Source organism: Homo sapiens, chromosome 10 (genome assembly GCF_000001405.40).
Source record: "Homo sapiens chromosome 10, GRCh38.p14 Primary Assembly".
Classification (NCBI taxonomy): Eukaryota; Metazoa; Chordata; class Mammalia; order Primates; family Hominidae; genus Homo; species Homo sapiens.
The window spans coordinates 1,616,174-1,633,460 of record NC_000010.11 but is presented as its reverse complement, the minus strand read 5'-3'; the positions used below and the strand labels follow the sequence as shown (position 1 = coordinate 1,633,460).

Genomic DNA, 17,287 nt, shown 5'->3' with positions numbered 1-17,287 from the left:
GAATATTTTCAATACACTCATCAGTTCAGCGTCCACACTCTGAAAATCCAAGATCTGAAATATTCTGGTGAGCATTTCCTTTGAAATTCCTGTTGGCACTGAAAAAGTTTTGAACTATGGAGCATTGCGGATTTTGGATTTTTTGATTAGGGACACTCAACCTGTGTATGGGGAGGTTTATTATGGGAACTGGCTCATGTGATCATGGAGGCTAAGACGTCCCTCAATCCCTGCTTGGGCACTGGTGAACCAGGAAATCAGTGACATAGTTCAGTCCAAGCCCAAAGGGCTCAGAACCAGGGGAGCCAACAGTGTAGCCCTAGCCTGAGTCCAGAGGCAGAAGAAGCAGGAGAAGCAGGAGGAGAAGCAGGAAAAGCAGGAGAGGAAGCAGGAGCACGGGAGTCTGAGGCCCTGGGGAGAGGGAGGCCCACTCCAGCAGAGGCGATCCACCCTGCCCCCAGCTTCCATTCCATTTGGCCCTCTGTGGACTGGATGCACCCACCCACATGGACAAGGGCAGAGCTTCTTGACTCAGTTTACCATTTCAAATGCTGGTCTCTTCCAGAAACATCCTCCCAGATACACCCAGAAATAACAGTTGACCAGCCCCCTGGGCAGCCCCAAGCCCAGTCAAGTTGCCACATAAGATGAGCCTTTACAGCATGTCACGCTAACTTGGAACGAGTGTGCAGATGGGAGTGGTTCTTCGTGACTGCTGGGCTGTGAGGTCTCTGTCTATTCAATGCCACTTCATGCAGTCCCACAGTGAGTGGGAGGAGGACACTGGTGTGAGGATCTGCCATCAGTCCTTGACTTCTCAGGGCTTTAGGGCAGTTATTTCCCCTCTAGTCTCACCAGACTTGGAGAACCGTCATGGACACTGTCTCTGGGGTGAGGGCCACAACTCAGCCCACAGCCTCGCCATAGGCCCAGCCACATGGGCAGGTGCATGGTCACAAGGCTAGTGCTGTGAGTATCCAGTGTGTGTGCATGTGTGTGCACATGTGTAGTGTGCATGTGTGTGCAAGCACTTGTGTGCCCATGTATAATGTGTATGCAGATGCATATTGTGCATGCTTGTGTTTGCAAGCCTGTGTGAGTATACGTGTACTGTGTGTGCATGTGTGTGCACGTGAGTATTGTGTGCCTGTGTGTGTGCGCATGTGTGTAGTGTGTGCATATGTGTGTGTAGTGTATGCATGCATGTGGCATGTGTGTGTAATGTGCACATGCCTGCACAAGTGTGTTTATGAAGTTGGATGTTTAAGATCTATGTTGTTTTTCTTCATGAGATATTTAGTATAATGATGAATTTATCCAGTTTAGATTATTTTATGGCCCTAGGAACAGCTTAAATATTAGCTAAAAACAAGGATGTTTCTAAGATGTATACCTTTGAAAATCAACAGCATTTTATTAAAATGTCTCAGTCCTCCCACTGCCATGTTGTTTTTCCCTGTGAAGAGCGGACACATTCTCCTAAGGCAGTGCATGGCAAGCTCCTCTCTAAGATCACGCTTATCCACACCTCTGGGTAGCAGTTTCAGAAGAAGAAGGTGAGAATTTTAACAGAGAGAAAAGTTGTTGTTTAGAATTTCTATGACACTATACATTTCCAGAATAACTACAATAATCTGATAAAATTCTCACATTGTTTTTACAAATTACCATTTAAAAAATACATATTTTCCTTCCTAACTGTGAACCGAGCCACATTTTCCTAGATCTGGCAGCAGGAGGAGAATGGAAGCTTGGTCCTGCACTGCAGCCCACACAGCGTCGTCCTTTACCCAAGATCTCCAGTAGACAGACACCATCAAATCACCAGACCCATTCATCTGCCAGCCACCTCACTGCAACTGTAACTGACGTTCAAAGGGTGACCTAGCACTTCCTGGATGTAGAAGTCCTTCCCAGGCATCAAAGAGTGACGGAAGCACTGCTGTTCATTTGGGTTTCCTGTTAAGCATATTTTTTGCGCTCTGACATCGGGCATGGGAAGGTGATACGCCCTGGCATGACACCAGCTGGCCCTGAGCCCGAGCCTGCCCAGTCACCAGGAACGGGACCTCACAGTGGAACCCGAGGCAGCCTTTGTCAGGTCCCCGCTGGCTAAAGCTGGGTGAGCTGTTCCCTGCCGCGTCCAGCCTGTCTCGGTGCCAGGTAGTGGTGGGTGCTCTACAGGCCTCATTGAATGGAATGGAGGAAGGAAGAAAGTAAAGAAGGAAGACAGGGTAGAAAGGGTGGAGGTGGACGTTCATGGATGGCGTCGGGACCCCACGTGGAGGCACCTGGCACATCGAACGTGTTGCACACCCTTTTTTCTTGTTCCAGGGAAGCTAGGAACTCACTGTTGGGGCACTGGTTCACAGGCCACTCTTCCCACACTTCACCGCGGGTGGTGGCTCTACTGAGAAATAAGTATTTCCCTCATAATTCTTTTCTTTTTTTCTTTCTTTCATTTATTTGTTTGTTTGTTTGTTTGTTTGTTTGTTTGTTTGTTTTTGAGAAGGAGTCTCGCTCTGTCACCCAGGCTGGAGTGCAATGGCATGATCTCGGCTCACTGCAACCTCCATCTCCTGGGTTCAAGTGATTCCCCTGCCTCAGCCTCCTGAGTATCTGGGACTACAGACGCCCACCACCACACCTGGCTAATTTTGGTACTTTTAGTAGAGACGGGGTTCCACCATGTTGACCAGGCTGGTCTCAATCTCTTGACCTCATGATCTGCCCACCTCGGCCTCCCAAAGTGTTCCTTCATATTTCTGTAATCCAGAAATCTAAAATGCACATAGACCTTTAATAAACCACCATGTGGAAAAATGCACTGAGGCATTCATAGAGTCGCCATTTCTCTGCCTGAAACTTCAGCCTCTGGATCCAGCACACACCCCCTCTGCCCTGCCCAGAGTCACTGTCACCATGGGAGACCCAAGAGCTGAGCGAGGGTAGAGACTGAAATGTAAATGACTCGTGGCTTCTGATAGAGAGTTTACTGTAACCAGGGCACAGGGTAAGCCACTTTCCTCCGCCCCCTCCCTGAGAACAGGCTGGTACCCAGGGAAGGGTGTCACCGCTGGGTAGGAAGCCCTCCCCACCCCTTTATGCCCTGCCTTGCTTCTGTACTGCGTTGATCACCATCTGAAATTATCCTGTTACCTGCACGAGTGTCATCTTCTCCCATCCTCACGAGAACATAAGTGTCGGGAGGGCCAAGCTCTAGTCTGTCCCATTCATGGACCCAGAATGGTCTCTGGCCACAGTGGACCCTTCATGAATGTTTGCTAAATGTATAAAGAAATAATTATCTCCTATTTCTAAGATGAAACACTCAAAGCCAAAGGACCTGGTGCCATTGCTGGGTTATCTCATAAATCAACTGCAGCTCTAGCAAGCAAGGCTAGAGGCTCCTGTCTAGGTGGCCATGAAGTGCCAAGTGGGTGTGGCTGGGTGACTGCTGGGGTGAGCAAGGGCTCGGCAGATGGTGTTGGGCAAGTAGATGAAGGAATGACGGGGGTTGGTTTTGTCAGGTTCCTCCCTCCTCACGCTCCCTTCCCCCGCATTCTCTGTGTCTCGCTCCCTGTCTTTGTGTCCAGGTCACTTTGTGTTAATGCTGTTTTACTTAGCAGCCATTCTCGGAATGGCATGTGCAAGGCTGTTGTGTAACCCCTAGAGGCCACACAAGGGTCACAGGCAAATTTTGTCTCAGGTTACAAGCTGTAGGGGTTTAGTGAAGAGAGACAACGTGTCTTGTCAGGGATGGCAGTTTGGGGGAGTTTGTGAAGGGCCGGGGGTGAGCTGGACTTGCAGGATCTGCAGGTGCCCAGGCAATGGGGACAGACCCAGAGCGGAAGCACCCGGCCTTTGTGACGACCTGAGGGGCTTGAGTGCTGGGGGGGTTGGGTGCTGGGGGGGTTTGAGTACTGGGGGGACTTGGGCACTGGGTGGTGTTGGGCGCAGTGGGGAGGTTGGGCGCAGGGCGGGGTTGGGCGCTGGCGGGGTGCTTGAGCGCTGAGGCTTTAGCTCCATGGGAGCAGGAGGTAATGGGGGAAGTGAATTAGAATGTCACTGTGAAGTCCTGACCATCACGATGAGGAGGTCTCCACCAATCCCAGGGGACAGCATGGCTAGGAGTAAACCCACACTTGTCTCAGAAACTGATTTTTACCAACTGCAAACTGGCAGGTAGAAACTGTGCCCTGGCTCATCACTCACCAGGGAGTCCAATTCCCTGGGCCTTAGTTTTCTTGTCTAAACAAAGGAGAAAGAGTAAATCAAGTAACCACAAACCTCTCAAAATTAAAAAATAATAACCTAAACTTCCAAGGAACATGTTACTCGTGGACTCTGTGTTGCTAGGGGACACCCTGGCGAACAGCTTGAGCCAGTTTCACGCCTGTCCTCACTGAGGGTCTCAGCACTCCCCTCTCTCTGTCTTCTCATCAATGTCTCCAAGCCCCTCATGAGGCAAATGAAACCCGGCCAGCTGTCCAGCCCTCGCAGGAGCTACAGGGAAGAAGCACAGACCGATCTTGAGTCAGAACCCAACGGACACCAGGGAGGCCCCTCCAGTGGTCACGACACTGGGCAGCCGTGATTCGCTGGCCTGGAAGTGGGACCAGGGCCTGGCCGGAGGCCGCCGTGAGCAAATGGCGGGACTGGTTTCATTTTTCTCCATAGTTTCCAGAAGAGAAAGACACACCAGGAAAGTCTTTGTATTTCTCCCAGTTCGCTGAAAAGAAGGATTTCATTTAAAACGTAGAGATCCATGCTAAAATAGCTCAGGATTCAAATTCTTTTCCTTGAAACTGACTTACTTCCACACCCATGGAGGTTTCTTGTACAGAATGAAACAGGGACCCTAGACAGCTGAGTCTCTAGTGACATTCGGCCAAGTGTCAGAAACACATTTTTATCAGCCATAGCTGTGGAAGAAAAGGCCGTGATTAAACTATTTTCATTGTTTTAATATCTGTGTCATTCTCATGTAGAATCTTGGCTTATTAAGTTCCTCCCGGTGCCTTCACAGTAACAAAATTCTAAAATGTTTTGAAAGCATCACTTAGAGCCACACAACAATAATTAACAGCCTAGCAAGCGCTGAACAGTGAATGCCGATCGTAACGCAGCCTAACATCGGTAGAAAGCAAGTAATCACAGGCACTACCCACGGCTAGCAGGGTTGTGTGCTGTTATCATAAAGTACTGATGAGGCCCCCTCGCTCCTTGACAATGTGCACAGAAGCGACTTTTCCCCCTAAGCATGCCAGGGAGGCCAGAGGAGGCTGCAGGCAATGCATCGCCGCCCGTTTGCTCTCAGCCCCTCAGGCACCTGCTGCCAGGGTGCTCCAGGGTAGATGTGTCTTTCCTGCCTCTGATCTACCCACGCGTGGACAAGGGCAGAGCTCAGGCCAGTCACAGAGGGATGGGCGAAAGCCCACATCAGCCGGCAGTTTTCCAGGATGGAGGGTCAAGCTGATTTCAGACGGGGCAGACCTGTCTGCAGTGTGAGTGGAGGAGGGGTGATGCTGGGGGGAGTCACACCTTCTCCATGGCTGATGCCCTCCAGCTCCACCTCTTCAAGTGCTGGCACCTTGAGGACAAACATGACCAAAGAGACAGGTGATCTCTACGAGGCTGTGTCTCGGTTTTATTTGATTTTGTATATTAGAGAATGGGTGATCAATTAAAAGGAAAGAAATCACTCTGGGAGAGAGCAGTACAGACAGCTGCTGTAGAGAGAGAAAAGCCAGAGAAAACCCCTATGTCTCTTTCTAGTGTAATCTGTAAAACAGCCAGTGCTTCTGCATCTCCATTTCTTATGACAAACCAGTAGAAGTTAATTCCATTAGAAATCTAGGAACGTTAGATGTCATGGCCATGGCTGTGTAGCTGTGGGCAAACTTCTACATGAAGTTTTCACAGCTTATGGTTTTCTACTTTGATTATGGGGTCTGTGCAAGGACTGAGATTTAAGTTTAAAGTCAAAGTTCACCTGATAGACATTGAACTGTGCCCTTTAACCTGCAACAGATGTAAGAAGGTGATGAGAGAGAGAGAAAAAAAATTAAGATAGAAAGGCAATCAAGAGAAAGAATGGAGGAGAATTTCTCTCCTTTGTGGGAGGCGATCTTGCATGCACAGATGGGCCCTGCTCTCCGAATGGAGTCAAGTGTCCGTGATCAGGAGTCTAATCTTCAGTTGCCTTGGCTAGAAAAGCAACCTCTAAATCAATAAATCAATCCGAGGCTCGTCAAGCCCCTTCTTGTGCACGTCCCAAGTTATTAAAATGTATAAGTCTCAGTCTCGGTGCTCGAGGAGCTAACGATTCACCCGAGGGCCCGGCTCCAGTTCGAGTGGGTGACTGATGTGTGAGCCTGTGGGGAGGGAGAGGCGTCCAGGCCAGGGTGGGCAGAAAGCGGTGCTAGCGGGTGCGCCGGGGCCCGGGGAAAAGGTGGGACCTGAGTGGGTCAGGCAAGGAGAGGGCAGCAGGACCCCACAGAGAGGGATTCTTAGGAGGAAGGCACAGGGTGGGTGCTGATGAGGGAAGGCAGGAGATGCATAACCACAGCAGAAACCGATACATGTTTATATTAGGTTGGTGCAAAAGTAACTGTGGTTTTTGCATTTTTTAAATATATAGTAAACTATATATAATACAACATGTAACAATCGGGCCACTTCAGACCGTGCGGGTTGCTTTGTGCGTGGCTGTTAACAGGTGGTGAGCGACAAGCCGGGACGTGTGTAGCCACCTTCCCTCTGCCCATGGCCCTGGCAAGTCATTCACGTTCTTCCATGTCGAGTGTGGGGGCAGCCCGGAAATATCACTGAGGACAGGCCGTCGTGGGAGTTTGAGAGGAGCCAGTCTGCCTCACGGATGGCCTGGGAACTCCCATGACACGTGCAGGGGAGTTCACAGCCACGGGAGGAGGGCCAGGCAGCACCTGCGGAAAAGACCTCGGCTGCTGAGCAGAGGAAGCCCCGGAGTTCAAGAGGTGCCTGAGGCGTGGGCAGACGTGGGGTTAGCGTCCGAGATCCAGTGGAGGCCTGTGTCCATGCAGGAGAGAGCGTGGGCAGACATGGGGTTAGCATCCGAGGTCCAGTGGAGGCCTGTGTCCATGCAGGAGAGAGCATGGGCAGACGTGGGGTTAGCGTCCGAGGTCCAGTGGAGGCCTGTGTCCATGCAGGAGAGAGCATGGGCAGATGTGGGGTTAGCGTCTGAGGTCCAGTGGAGGCCTGTGTCCATGCAGGAGCGAGCGTGGGCAGATGTGGGGTTAGCGTCCGAGGTCCAGTGGAGGCCTGTGTCCATGCAGGAGAGAGCATGGGCAGACGTGGGGTTAGTGTCTGAGGTCCAGTGGAGGCCTGTGTCTATGCAAGAGAGAGCGTGGGCAGATGTGGGGTTAGTGTCCGAGGTCCAGTGGAGGCCTGTGTCCATGCAGGAGCTGAGGTCCAGTGGAGGCCTGTGTCCATGCTGGAGCGAGCGTGGGCAGACGTGGGGTTAGCATCCGAGGTCCACTGGAGGCCTGTGTCCATGCAGGAGAGAGCGCAGGGTCAGGCAGAGGCGTGAGAAGTGGGGCAGCCAGGCAGGTGCACACAGAGGGCAGGAGCAGGAGGCATGGCTGTGCTGGGTGATGAGGACATGGGAAGGCCACAGCTCAGCAGGAGAAGGGTGAGAGGGGTCGGGCAGGCCTCGCTGGGGACACTTAGCAACCTGGGGCTGGGTCCCACGGGCTGGATCTGTGGAGGCTGTCATTCCAGGGCATGTCTGCTGTCTGATGGTCAGTGGACATGTGTCAATTCTGTATTAATGTGATGACACTTGGACACTCACCATGCCTTCCCTGCTCTTCACAAAGCCAGTGGGGACTCCCGAGAAAGCTGTTCTGTGGCCTCCACCTGTGGAGCTTAGATTCCAAAACCAAGCCCTGCACCTCCAGAGGCCTGTTTTTCCCTCCGAGGAACATTCCCTGCCGTCTGTTCACTGGGATCCCAGCATTGTTTCCATCCAGGGCACTAAACACCCCACCAGCGCCAAGGTGCAAACCTCAGTCCCTGTAAGCTGCCCCTGATGGGCCAGCCCTCAGCACTGCAACCGGCATTGGGATTGCAACCCACGTCGACTGTCTGTCTCCCAGTTTTCCCTGGAAAAAGGGGTATTTTCCCTTAAAGGAGTGTAAAGATGGCGAGTTCAGCCTCAGGCTCCGCACAGGCCTGGACTCAGCACATGAGCTGAGAGCAGCCTCTGCTCCCGCACACCACGCTCCTTTCTGCACCACAGAAAACAGGCTGGAAAAATGTCTCTTGGGGTTTAGCTCTCAGGACTCGTCAATAATTCTGAACAACTTGTGGAGGTGTTTGGCCAATTCTGAACAGATGCAGATAAATTCACATTTCCCCAGACAGTTAAAAGAAAAATCTTTAGCTAACACAACAGTAGGAGAAACCTGTGTTAGACTGCCTTCTACATATATATATATGTTTAATTTATTTTTATTGAGATATACAAGTGGTTTTCATGATTCACCTGCTTCAGTAAATGCAGCATAACATCATCTGTAATTTAACCTTTAGTTTTTTTTAATTCCAAGTCAAGAAGAATCTCAAGCACTCACAAAAGCCATCTTCTCTTTCTAGTTTACTTCCTTTCAAGTACTTTTTTACCTTTAAAGACTCTGAAGATAAAATTAGAAGTCATTTTGTTCCTGCATATTGGTAATGAGTAATTATGCTGTCAAGTAGTACATAACTATTAATTACATGACTGCCTTTTTATTTCAAGGAGTTATTTAATAATTTTTTTAATAAAGAGTTACATGTGTCAGTCTCTTAAAAACATATCCATCAATGTTATTTTCAGAGGTGGGAAATTGTCATAACCTCGTGAGTTTCGCTCAGTTTGTGATTATAGACTTCACAGATGTGTGTGTTCTGTTGTCGCAGGAAATGACAGTAGCATCTGGAAGTGCACACCATGGTCCCCAGCCGGTGGGGAGGCAAGGTGGGAGGGCGTGCTCGGCTCCCAGCTGTGGGGCTGTGCTCGGAGCCACGGGTAGGAGACCAGGCAGGACGGCATGCTCGCTGGAGCCTGGAGTTGCATCAGATAATACGAGGAGAACCCCAAATCGTCTTTAGTGGTTTAAAATGGAGGCAGTCTGGATTCTTATTCTCTTTCTTTTTTTCTTTGGTTTTTGTTTGTTTTTGTTTTGTTTTGTTTTGTTTTTTCCGAGACAGGATTTCACTCTGTCACCCAGGCAGGAGTGGAGTGATGCCTTCAAAGCCCACTGGGGTCTCAGCCTCCTGGGCTCAGGTGATACCCCCACCTCAGCCTCCCAAATAGCTGGGACCACAGGTGCGTGCCACCATGCCAGGCTAATTTTTCATGTTTTTAGTAGAGATGGGGTTTTGCCATGTTGCCCAGGCTGGTCTCAAACTCTTGGGCTTAAGTGATCGATCCGCCTCAGCCTCCCAAATCGCTAGATCATACGTGTGAGTCACTGCACCAGCCTTGATTCTTACCCTGAATCTCTTTCACCAGCTGAGCTACCTTGGCCAAATCATTTCATCTTGCTGTGCCTCAGTGGCCCCATGAACAAATGATGATAATAATAGTGCCTACTGAAGGGGCTGTTTGAGGATTAAATGCTGTGGGTCTCTAATAAGCTCTATGAACATTAACTATTTGACTGCAAACTCAGCCCTCGTACTGGGCATTCCTGAGGGTGAAGGCCCCTGGTCCTGTAGGCGGGAGGGAGGTCTCCAATGTCTTCAATAAGGCAGGGAATCCATGCGTGTGCAATCGCACTGATGACAGAGAAGGTGATGACGGTACAACGGGACAGACAAGGAGTTCAAAGCAGTTACGGCTCACGGTGGACCATGCCTGGGAAGGCGGCCAGAGGCGGGTGTAGGCGCTGACAATGGAATTCTATGGGTAGTGACAAAAATTCTATGGGCTGTGTGAAATCTAGTTTTCTAACAAAAATTTTCCCAAAACAACAGTTTATATTCTTACTCAAGTGTAATCAAGTAAGTGCCATTCTAGCTATACAGTAGAAACTACTGTAGTTTGCAGTTCATGTATTTGTTGCAGCATTACTGACATGCTTCCATTCAATAGACTTTGCCCGTGCACAATTCAATCATTTTCACACATCTACAGTGTTGAGCTGCATGACCACCTGGGATGCGCCTCACGTCCTCTTGAGAATGTGGGCTTCATGGATGTGTGTGCAGAAGGAAGCTTATTTTTTCATTTATTTAATGATGTTTTTGCAACAATCCAATCCCACCCCCAGCCCTGGGCAACCACTAATGGATGCCCCATCTCTAAATATTTTCCTCTTTTGGAGATTTTGTATAAATAGAATCATGCCATACGTCACGTCTTCCTTCCAACTCCTGCTCAGCACAATGTTTTTGAGGCTCATCTGTGTTGGGGCGCGTGTCCGTAGTTTGCACCTTTGGCCTACGGAATGCTATTCTAAGGTTTGGATAGAGTTCCTGTTGTTTCTCCCCCTCTCTGTTGATGGACGTTTGTGGTGTCATCAGCTCTTGCTTGTTATGAATGAAGCCACGTGAGCATTCCCTGACATGCCTTTGCGTGGACGTGTTTTCATTCCTCCGAGGTGGGTGCCTAGGTGCTGAAGTACTCTGTTATATGGCGGGTATATGTTTAGCTATTTAAGAAACAAACAAACAATTTTCCAAAGTAGCTGTTGCATTCTAAATGCTGAGCAGCCACGCATGAGGAATCGCCTCTTTTCATAGTTCATCCAACACTTGGTATTTTCTGTCTTTTTAATTAGAGCTATTCTAGAGGGTATATAGCTGTATCTCATTGTGGTTTCATTTACATTTCCCTAATTACTAATGACGGTATACATCTTTTTAAGTTTTTGTTTTCTACATGTCCTCTTTAGTGGCATGACTGTTCAAAATTTTACTCCTTTTTACTGGATTCTTGTCATTACTGAGTTGTAGGATTCTTTATATATATATTCTAGATAAAAGTTCTTTATCAGATATATAACTTGCAAATATTTTCAACCTGTATAAGATTTATTTTTTCATTAAAGATGTGTTTTGAAGCTCAAAGTTTTAAAAGTTGATGAAGTCCAACTTTTTGATATTTCCTTAATGAATTGTGCCTTTTATGTTGTGTCTAAGAATTATTTGCCAAATTCAAGCTAATAAAGATTTTTTCCTGTTTTCTTCTAGGAGTTTTAAAATTTTAGCTAGGGTCTTTAGGTCTGTGGTTCATTGTGCGTTTTGTGTATAGTGTAAGGTAATGGTGTATATTCATTTCTTTGAATGTGAGTATACAGTAGAACCAGAACCATTTCTTGAAAAGAGTATCCTTTCCCCATTGAAATTTCTTAGTACCTTTGGAGGAATTAGTTGCCCATGGATGTAAGCATTAATTCATGAACCCTCAACTCTGTTCAATTTATCTAGATTACCTTACCTTGGTAGTAAATTTTGAAATCAGCTAGTATAAGTTTTCCAACCTTTTTCTTTCTTTATTTTTTTGCAAAATTGTTTTTTACTATTAGATCCTTTGCATTTTATTTTCATACATATTTTAAGAGGAGCTTGACATTCTCTACAAAAAAAATCCTGGGATTTGAGATTTGGCAGAGATTGCATTGAATCCATGGATAATTTGGGATGAATTGTTATCTTGACATCTTGACATTACTGAGTCTTTAAATCCAGAAACATGGAATTTCTCCCTATTTACTTAGGTCTCCTTTGATTTCTTTCAGTAATGTTTTGTAGTTTTCAGTACACAAGTCTTGCATTTCACTGTTGTTGTTGTTGCTGTTAAGTGTGTTCCTAACACAGTGAAAACTCATCTCTACAAGTAATACAAAAACTAGCTGGATGTGGTGGCATGTGCCTGCTGTCCCAGCAATTCCAGAGGCTGAGGCAGGAGAACCACTCGAGCCTGGGAGGCCGAGGCTGCAGTGAGCTGTGATCATGCCACTGCTCTCCAGCCCAAGTGGCAGAGTGAGACCCTGTCTCAAAAAAAAAAAAAGAAAGAAAGAAAAAGAAAAAGAAGAAACTATTCCTAGTTATTTATTTTTGAGGCTCTTGTAAATGTAACAATGTTCTTGTTTTTCTTTTCAGATTGTTAGTAATATATAAAAAGACGATTGATATGTTTATACTAATCATATGTCCTGCAATCTTGCTAAAATACCTACTAGTTCTAATATATTTTTTGTTGATTCTATCAGATTTTCTACATAGATGTTCATGTCATCTACAAATGAATACATTTTAATATTTCCTATGCTGGATGCCTTGAATGATTGGCATGTTTGTTTATTTTGTTTGTTTTGTTCTCATACTTGCAAGGACCAGCAGTATACTGTTGAATTCAAGTGTGAAAGTAGACATCCTTCCCTTGTCCCTGATCTACAGGAAAGCACTCAGCCACTCATGACTAAGGATGGAGCTGGGCATGAGTGATTCATATATGCCCTTTTATAGCTTGCAGAAGTTCCATTGTACTCAGAGTTGTTAAGGGAGTTTGTCATGAATGAGTACTGGATTTTTCCAATACTTTTTTCTGCATGTATTGTGATAATCAGGTGTCTGATCTTTATTTGATTAATATAGTATATTACACTAGGTGATTTTTACATTTTAGGCCAACTTTTCACTGTAGGCGTAAATCTAACTTGGTCTTTACATACACCCTTTTCATATGGTGCTTGATTCAGTTAGGTGATGTTGTGTTAATAGTTTCACATCCATATTCATAAGAAATCTTGGGCTATACTTTTTGTGATATTTTTGTGCTTGCTATCAATATAATATTAGAACAACTGAATGAATGGAGAGTCGTCTCCCCTTCTGCATTTTCTAGAACAGTTTGTAAAAGATTGTTAGTATTTTTTCTTTATTTAACAAATTCACCAGTGACACCATTTGGGCCTGGGCCTTTTCTTGTGTAAAGGGATCTCTAATTGTTAGTTTAATTTTCTTAATTGTTATTTTTGTAGTTTTTTTATTTCCTCTTTAGTCATTTTTGGAAATCTGCGCATTTCCAGTAATTTCCCCCATCTCATCTAAGTTGCCTCATTTGGGCCATAAAGTTGCCCATAACATGTGCTTATGACCCCTTTAATTTTTGTAGATTGGTGATAATGTTTCTTCTTTCATTTCTAATTTTCATAATTTGTGTCTTCTGTCTTTTATTACTGGTCGGTCAATCTAAATATGTCAATTTGTTGATTTTTTTGGTTTTCTATTTCATGGATTTTTGCTCTAATCTTTATTATGTCTTACTTTGATTTTAGTTTGCTCTTATTTTTCTACTATATTCACATGGAAGCTTAGAATATTGATTTGAGATCTTCCTTTCTTTCTGATATAGGTGTTTAAAGCTATAAATTTCCCTCTACTGTCTTAGTTGCACCCCATAAATTTTAATATAATTTTGTTTTAGTGCAGTTAAATTTTTTTCTTATTTTTCTTGTTTTTCCTTTATTGATCCATGGGTTATTTAGAAGTATATTGTTTAATTTCTAAATATTTGCAGATTTTCCAGATTTCTTTCTGTTGTTCAATTCTGATTTACTTTCATTGTGGTCAAAAACATCATTATATGATGCCAGTTCTATTAAATGTATTGATTTTTTTTCTAATCTAGCATATTATCTATTCGTAAAATGTTTCTTGTCCTTAAAAACAATATGTGGGCAGGGAATGGTGGCTCATGCCTGTAATCCCAGCACTTTGGGAGGCCAATATGGGCAGATCTCTAGGTCAAGATATTGAGACCCTCCTGGCCAACATGGTGAAACCCCATCTCTACTAAAAATATAAAAATTAGCTGGGCATGGTGGCATACCCCTGTAATCCCAGCTACTTGGGAGGCTGAGACAGGAGAATTGCTTGAACCTGGGAGGTGGAGGTTGCAGTGAGCCAAGATCGCACCACTGCACTCCAGCCTGGTGACAGAGCGAGACTCTGAAAAAACAAAAATACATGTTCTGCAGTTATTACATGAAGTGCTTATTTTTGTTAAATAGATTGAGTTGATTAATACTGTCATTTAATTTTCCACCTAATTGTTCTATCAATAAATAATACAGCAAATGTAGTTTTTTTAGAGTCATTGTATGGTGCGTATTTTTTCTTTTTTTTTTTTTTTTTTTACTTTCAATGTATTTGTGTCTTTGATTCTAAAATGTATCTTGTAGACAGCATGTAGCTAAATCTTACTTATTTATCTAATCTGATGATCTCTGCTCTTTTTATTTGGGTGTTTAGACCATTCATATTTAATGCAACTAATGATATGGCTGGATTTACATTTACCATTTTGCAATTTATTTTCCACATGTCTCTCGCCTTCTCAATCTCTTCCTGAATAACTGAGTGTATCACTTTAACTCCTCTGTTGATTATTTTACACCATTCATTCCTCCAAGCCAGGTGATCCATTAATTGCAGCCAAGAAGCTACAGTTCCTTCGCAGCCTGCCTTAATCTGACAGAACTTCTACAAGCTGCAGGGGGCAGGGGTTTCAGCTGTATAGTTGCTTTTGGAGGAGAGGGTTTAATTTTCTCTTCAAATGGCCATTGCTGGAAATCTCGCCTGTGATTTGTTTTTAGTGGCTTTAATGTTTTTGTTGTTGAGCCTGCCACAATGATCTCTCCAACAAAACAATACTCTTTTATTTGTATTTAATTCATTGAGAAACTGTCGATTACCACGTCACAGATTTTTAACTACCTCAAACTTGCTAGGTGGCACCACTTAAGATCTGACTTTTGGGAGCCTGAGAGGGGAGCATCACCTGAGCCCCAGGGATGGAGGTTGCAGTCAGCCAATATTGGGCCACTGCACTCCAGCATATGTGAAGTGCAAGACCCTCTCTCAAAAAAAAATCTGATTTTTAAACCTAGTGACACTGTACTTGAACAAAAAAAATGACTTGTTGAAAGTAAAAATTACTTTTGCAAATTATTATGAAGTGTCTTATGGTTGAATAATCAGAATTTTCTATAGGTATGTGAATTTTCAGGGTTGGTAGAATCTTCTCATTCATCTTAAGTTTGAAGCATTATTGGACTTATTAAAAAGGTGATAAGCTATACATACTTTTACAATATCCACTAAACAGTTATAATTTGGGGTTGTTGAATGGCAGTAAAGAGGTTATAGTCATGGTGGTGGATTTTTTAAAGTAAAGCTGGACTTATAGGATCTTAAATAAGAAAAGTTCATAAACAAGCCTGCTCTTCTAATTTACAGAGCAATTCTGTGACTCACCTAAAGGCATTCTGTTAGAGTAAAGGCTGGAACTTAGGTACACCTGTTTGGGCAGGCAGCAGATGGCACACTCAGAGGGTTAAGTAAGAAATTTAATAAAGGAAGTCGTCTTAAAGGTGCAGAGAATGTCACAGAAACTAAAGGGCATGATGAAGCTCCCGGGGAGATGCAGCCTTAGGGGAAAAAAGTGGACAGCAATTCACTGAACTCAGGGAAATCTGTAGTTGGAGGGGAAGAGCCGTCCAACAAAAGTTTTGAGCTTAAGAGAAACACAGCAACTGTCAAACAGACTGGAAGGAAAACTAACCCTTGAGCCTCCCTCCCTATCACTGAAACCAACAGAATGCAAAACCCTCTGAGGCCAGTTCCCAGGATGCAGAGCTCAGCAGGGTGGTGTGGAGTGTGTCTGCACAGGCAAACAAACATCTAGCGACAGAATGCAACCCTCTGAGGCCAGTTCCCAGGATGCAGAGCACAGCAGGGCGGTGTGGAGTGTGTCTGGACGGGCACACAAACATCTAGCAACAGAATGCAGCCCTCTGACGCCAGTTCCCAGGATGCAGAGCTCAGCAGGGCAGTGCAGAGTGTGTCTGGAGAGGCACACAAACATCTAGCGACAGAATGTAACCCTCTGAGGTCAGTTCCCAGGAGGCAGAGCACAGCAGGGCGGTGTGGAGTGTGTCTGGACGGGCACACAAACATCTAGCGACAGAATGCAACCCTCTGAGGTCAGTTCCCATGAGGCAGAGCTCAGCAGGGTGGTGCGGAGTGTGTCTGGACGGGCACACAAACATCTAGCGACAGAATGCAGCCCTCTGAGGCCGGTTCCCAGGATGCAGAGCTCAGCAGGGCGGTGTGGAGTGTGTCTGGACGGGCACACAAACATCTAGCAACAGAATGCAGCCCTCTGAGGCCAGTTCCCAGGATGCAGAGCACAGCAGGGCGGTGTGGAGTGTGTCTGGACGGGCACACAAACATCTAGCAACAGAATGCAGCCCTCTGAGGCCAGTTCCCAGGATGCAGAGCTCAGCAGGGCAGTGCAGAGTGTGTCTGGACGGGCAGGACGGGCACACAAACATCTAGCGACAGAATGTAACCCTCTGAGGTCAGTTCCCAGGAGGCAGAGCACAGCAGGGCGGTGTGGAGTGTGTCTGGACGGGCACACAAACATCTAGCGACAGAATGTAACCCTCTGAGGTCAGTTCCCAGGATGCAGAGCACAGCAGGGTGGTGCGGAGTGTGTCTGGACGGGCACACAAACATCTAGCAACAGAATGCAACCGTCTGAGGCCAGTTCCCAGGATGCAGAGCACAGCAGGGCGGTGTGGAGTGTGTCTGGAGAGGCACACAAACATCTAGCAACAGAATGCAGCCCTCTGAGGCCAGTTCCCAGGATGCAGAGCTCAGCAGGGCAGTGTGGAGTGTGTCTGGACGGGCACACAAACATCTAGCAACAGAATGCAGCCCTCTGAGGCCAGTTCCCAGGATGCAGAGCTCAGCAGGGTGGTGCGGAGTGTGTCTGGACGGGCACACAAACATCTAGCGACAGAATGCAACCCTCTGAGGCCAGTTCCCAGGATGCAGAGCACAGCAGGGTGGTGCGGAGTGTGTCTGGACGGGCACACAAACATCTAGCGACAGAATGCAACCCTCTGAGGCCAGTTCCCAGGATGCAGAGCTCAGCAGGGTGGTGTGGAGTGTGTCTGGACGGGCACACAAACATCTAGCGACAGAATGCAACCCTCTGAGGCCAGTTCCCAGGATGCAGAGCTCAGCAGCTCAGGGTAGAGTGTGTCTGGAGGGGCACACAGACATCTAGCACTACTTGCTGGTTCTGATCCTCGTTTTTCTTTTTTTTCTCGATGAAACATTCAAGTTCCCAACAGAAGAGAAATACAAAGTTCTAGCAGCAGTAGTTTTGAATGATGATTTCAATCCAGTTACACTCCCACTGGGACCCTCTATAGAAATGCAAGCCACCATCAATGCCCTTCCT

The 17,287-nt window shown here is 46.2% G+C and overlaps 1 protein-coding gene across 1 annotated transcript in view, besides 2 other annotated features; it reads left to right on the top strand.

The window, feature by feature from the left end:
* Nucleotides 1–17,287, top strand: part of ADARB2 (adenosine deaminase RNA specific B2 (inactive)) — a 560,213-nt gene that overhangs the window by 104,065 nt on the left and 438,861 nt on the right. The gene's annotated exons all lie outside the window — the stretch shown is intronic.
* Nucleotides 4,892–5,391: an enhancer, noted in NCBI's record as "H3K4me1 hESC enhancer chr10:1670265-1670764 (GRCh37/hg19 assembly coordinates)". NCBI's record gives its function as "activates a minimal SCP1, AML or CMV promoter by ChIP-STARR-seq in naive H9 embryonic stem cells {active_cell/tissue: H9 hESC(naive)}" and the evidence as "EXISTENCE:reporter gene assay evidence [ECO:0000049][PMID:30033119]".
* Nucleotides 5,392–5,893: an enhancer, noted in NCBI's record as "H3K4me1 hESC enhancer chr10:1669763-1670264 (GRCh37/hg19 assembly coordinates)". NCBI's record gives its function as "activates a minimal SCP1, AML or CMV promoter by ChIP-STARR-seq in naive H9 embryonic stem cells {active_cell/tissue: H9 hESC(naive)}" and the evidence as "EXISTENCE:reporter gene assay evidence [ECO:0000049][PMID:30033119]".